Source organism: Homo sapiens, chromosome 14 (genome assembly GCF_000001405.40).
Source record: "Homo sapiens chromosome 14, GRCh38.p14 Primary Assembly".
NCBI classification, from domain to species: Eukaryota; Metazoa; Chordata; class Mammalia; order Primates; family Hominidae; genus Homo; species Homo sapiens.
The window spans coordinates 86,771,489-86,775,821 of record NC_000014.9 but is presented as its reverse complement, the minus strand read 5'-3'; the positions used below and the strand labels follow the sequence as shown (position 1 = coordinate 86,775,821).

General features: G+C 43.2%; 1 annotated feature.

Annotated features, from left to right (window-relative positions):
• Positions 488-989: an enhancer, noted in NCBI's record as "NANOG hESC enhancer chr14:87241177-87241678 (GRCh37/hg19 assembly coordinates)". NCBI's record gives its function as "activates a minimal SCP1, AML or CMV promoter by ChIP-STARR-seq in naive H9 embryonic stem cells {active_cell/tissue: H9 hESC(naive)}" and the evidence as "EXISTENCE:reporter gene assay evidence [ECO:0000049][PMID:30033119]".

Genomic DNA, 4,333 nt, shown 5'->3' with positions numbered 1-4,333 from the left:
ATTCCAAATGGGAAACATTGGCCAAAACAAAGGGGCCACAGGTCCCATGCAAGTCCAAAATCCAGCAGGGCAGTCAAATCTTAAAGCTCCAAAATGATCTCCTTTGACTCCATGTCTCATGTCCAGATCTCACTGATGCAGGAGGTGGGTTCCCATGGTCTTGGGCAGCTCAGCCCCTGTGGCTTTGCAGGTTACAGCCTCCCTCCCGGCTGCTTTCATGGGCTGGCATTGAGTGTCTGTGGCTTTTCCAGGCACAGGGTGCAAATTGTCAGTGGATCTACTATTCTGGGGTCTGAAGGATGGTGGCCCTCTTCTCACAGCTCCACTAGGCGGTGCCCCAGCAGAGACTCTATGTGGGGGCTCTCATCCCACATTTCCCTTCTGCACTGCCTTAGCAGCGGTTTTCCATGAGGATCCCGCCCCTACAGCAAACTTCTGCCTGGGCATCCAGGCGTTTTCATACATCTGAAATCTACGCAGAGGTTCCCGAACCTCAATTCTTAACTTCTGTGCACTCACAGGCTCAACACCACATGGAAGCTGCCAAGGCTTGAGGCTTCCACCCTCTGAAGTCACAGCCCAAGCTCTTCGTTGGCCCCTTTCAGCAATGGCTGGAGCAGCTGGGACACAAGGCACCAAGTTCCTAGGCTGCACAGAGAACAGGGACCCTGGGTCCAGTACAGGAAACCACTTTTTCCTCCTAGGGCTCTGAGCCTGTGATTGGAGAGGCTGTCATGAAGACCTCTGACATGTCCTGGAGGCATTTTCCCCATTGTCTTGGGGATTAACATTTGGCGCCTCATTACTTATGCAAATTTCTGCAGCTGGCTTGAATTTCACCTCAGAAAATGGGATTTTATCTTCTATTGCATTGTCAGGCTGCAAAATTTCCAAACTTTTATGCTCTGTTTCCCTTATAAAACTGAATGCCTTTAATATTACCCAAGTCATCCAAGAATGCTTTGCTGCTTAGAAATTTCTTCTGCCAGATACCCTAAATTATCTCTCTCATGTTCAAAGTTCCACAAATCTTGAGGGCAGGAGCAAAATGTCACCAGTCTCTTTGCTTAAATATAACAAGACTCACCTTTGCTCCAGTTCCCAACAAGTTCCTCATCTTCATCTGAGACCATCTCAGCCTGAACCTTATTGTTCATATCACTGTCATTTTTGTCAAAGCCATTCAGCTAGTCTCTAGGGACTTTCAAACTTTCCCACATTTTCCTGTCTTCTTCTAAGCCCTCCAAATGGTTCCAGCCTCTGCCTGTTACCCAGTTCCAAAGTCGCTTCCACATTTTCAGGTATCTTTACAGCAGCATCCCACTGTACTGGTACCCGTTTACTGTATTAGTTCGTTTTCATGCTGCTGATAAAGACATACCTGAGACTGGGCATTTTACAAAAGAAAGAGGTTTAATGGACTTACAGTTCCACATGGCTGGGGAGGCCTCACAATCATGGTGGAAGGCAAGGAGGAGCAAGTCACATCTTATGTGGATGGCAGCAGGCAAAGAGAGAGCTTGTGTAGAGAAACTTCGTTTTTAACACAATCAGATCTCATGAGACCCATTCAGTATCACGAGAGCAGCATCGGAAAGACCCGCTCCCATGACTCAATCATCTCGCACCGGGTCCCTCCCACAATACACGGGAATTATAGAAGGGGACACAGAACCAAACCGTATCAGATGGATACAGATGAAGAAAATAACACTTAGAGATCAGGAAACTAAGTGGCAGCGTAGAACACAGCACCACTGATTACAACGTTCATCCCCTTTGTCACTGCCCACTGACCCTAATGGGGTATGACATGGACCAATTTCAGATCATGGGCAACAGAGTTGACTTCTTCTCAGGGTCCTGATTAGTTTCACTGTGTTATATTGCCCAGGTGACACAATTCAGCACTCTCTTTTCAAGTTGCACATCACTTTCCTATTCTCCTAGAAGTCCCTCTCCTATTTCGTCAGAAACAGAAGGAGCTTTTGTGAAGTAATGAAAAGCTCAAGTTAGACAAATATATACCAAAAGCAAAGGTCTTTTGGGCCTCTAATACCAGCACTTTGGGAGACTGAGGTAGGTGGATCACCTGAGGTCAGGAGTTCAAGACTAGCCTGGCCAACATGGTGAAACCCCGTCTCTACTAAAAATACAAAAATTAGCCTGTGTGGTGACATGGGCCTGTAATCCCAGCTACTCGGGAGTCTGAGGCAGGAGAATGGGTTGAACCAGAGAGGCGGAGGTTGTGGTGAGCCAAGATTGCACCATTGCACTCCAGCTGGGCGACAAGAAGAAAACTCAGTCTCCAAAAAAAAAAAAGTATTTTGGTATTTGGACATGAGTTGGCTGAGGAAAGAATAATCATAGAATAAAAAGAGTAGAAAGAGAACATGAATGTTTTTAACTGTTATTTTTTTCTGTGCATTTTTGACTGATATGTCTGCCTTCTATTTGATTGAAGCCAAACATATAGAGTTAACCAGATCTAATAACAAATTAGTTTGAAGCACATTTGTTTGACCACCTAGTATGTCCAAAACAGATGCTAGAGGAATAAGATGCAATTGCTACCTGTAAGAAAGTTATAATCTATCATCATAGCTCTATGACAATACATTTCAATATAAAACTGGAGGCAAAAATAGGTAAGTTTAAAAGCAATAGTGCTTGAGGTTGAAAAGTATTACCTTAACTAAAATATTATTTATGTTCTTTTCAACCTCCATGCTTAAAAAAAGCTTGAACCCATCCATATTGGGAAATGTTTACCTTCCTAATAAGAGGAAAATTTATGAACTGTAGCTATTTCGGAGACAAGAAATATATCTACTAATGATCATGGCCAATGTTATAAGTCTGTTTTTTTTTTTCTTGTTTTGTTTTTTGAGACGGAGTTTCACTCTTGTTGCTCAGGCTGGAGTGCAATGGTGTGATCTCGACTCACTGCAACCTCTGCCTCCTGGGTTCAAGCAATTCTCCTGCCTCAGCCTCTCAAGTAACTGGGATTACAGGCATGCACCACCTCTCCTGGCTAATTTTTTGTAGTTTCAGTAGAGACAGGGTTTCGCCATGTTGGTCAGGCTGGTCTGGAACTCCTGAGTTCAGGTGATCTACCCACCTCAGCCTCCCAAAGTGCTGGGATTACAGGTGTGAGCCAACATGTCCTGCCATAAGTCTGTTGTATCCTGGCATGCCTAGGGGTTTATTTTTTCTACTGCTTTCTAAGCTACATTTATATAAAGATTACCATTTGAGCTATAATATAAGTAATTTTTTCCTGCCTGTTATGTCATGCATTGTGTTAGACAATAGTGTGCAAAATAATGTTATAGCAAACACTGTTGTTGACATGCTGATGTGGTTTTGCTGTGTTTCCCCTCAAATCTCATCTTGAATTACAGCTCCAATAATCCACAAGTGTCATGCAAGGGACCTGGTGGGAAGTAATTGAATCATGGGGGATGGGTTTTCCCTTGCTGTTCTTGTGATAGTGAATAAGTCTCACAAGATATGATGGTTTTACAGAGGGGAGTTCCCATGCACAAGCTCTCTTGCTTGCCACCATGTAAGACGTGATTTTGCTCCTCATTTGCCTTCTGACATGATTGTGAGGCCTCCCCAGACATGTGGAACTGTGAGCCAGTTAAACCTCTTTCATTTATAAATTACCCAGTCTCAGGTATATCTTTATTAGCACCATGAGAACAAACTAATACATCTGCCTTTTTCCCCTCAGCCCTCACCAGTCACATAGTTGCTGACAGCAGCTTACTGCAAGAATATGAAAAACTCTTCTTGACATCCTTCTTCCATTTCACCCACTCCTGGACTACTAGTAGTTTCTCCTTCCCAGGAGCAGCCCTCCACCAGTGCTGGATCAACTTAAAAATAAACATCCTGGTTTTCTCTCCCTATAGGTAGCTCTGAGGTATATTCTGCATTGCTTCCTTCACAGAGAGATTGAGCTGTGTATCCTTTCCCTATTTCATGATGCCATTCCCCTACAGGTACTTCTCCTGATCCCTTCAAATTCAAATTCTTGTCTCAGGAATTACATCTTAGGGAACCCAACCTAAAGCAAATACATAATCTCAATTCCTATTTTCTAGCAATTTACAGTGTGAAAACTAAAATTACTATGAAAGAGGAAGTGATTATAAGGGAGGAAAGACAAAAAGTACAAATAACAATTCAAAGGCAGTCTCTAGGCAAAGCTGATGTAAGTAGACTATGAAAAAGTCAAGAAAACTAATGAATCTGAAAAAATCTTAGGAGTTGAAATCAAGAGGAATGAGTTGCAGGTTAGAACAGAACTGTCCTATTTTGGTCA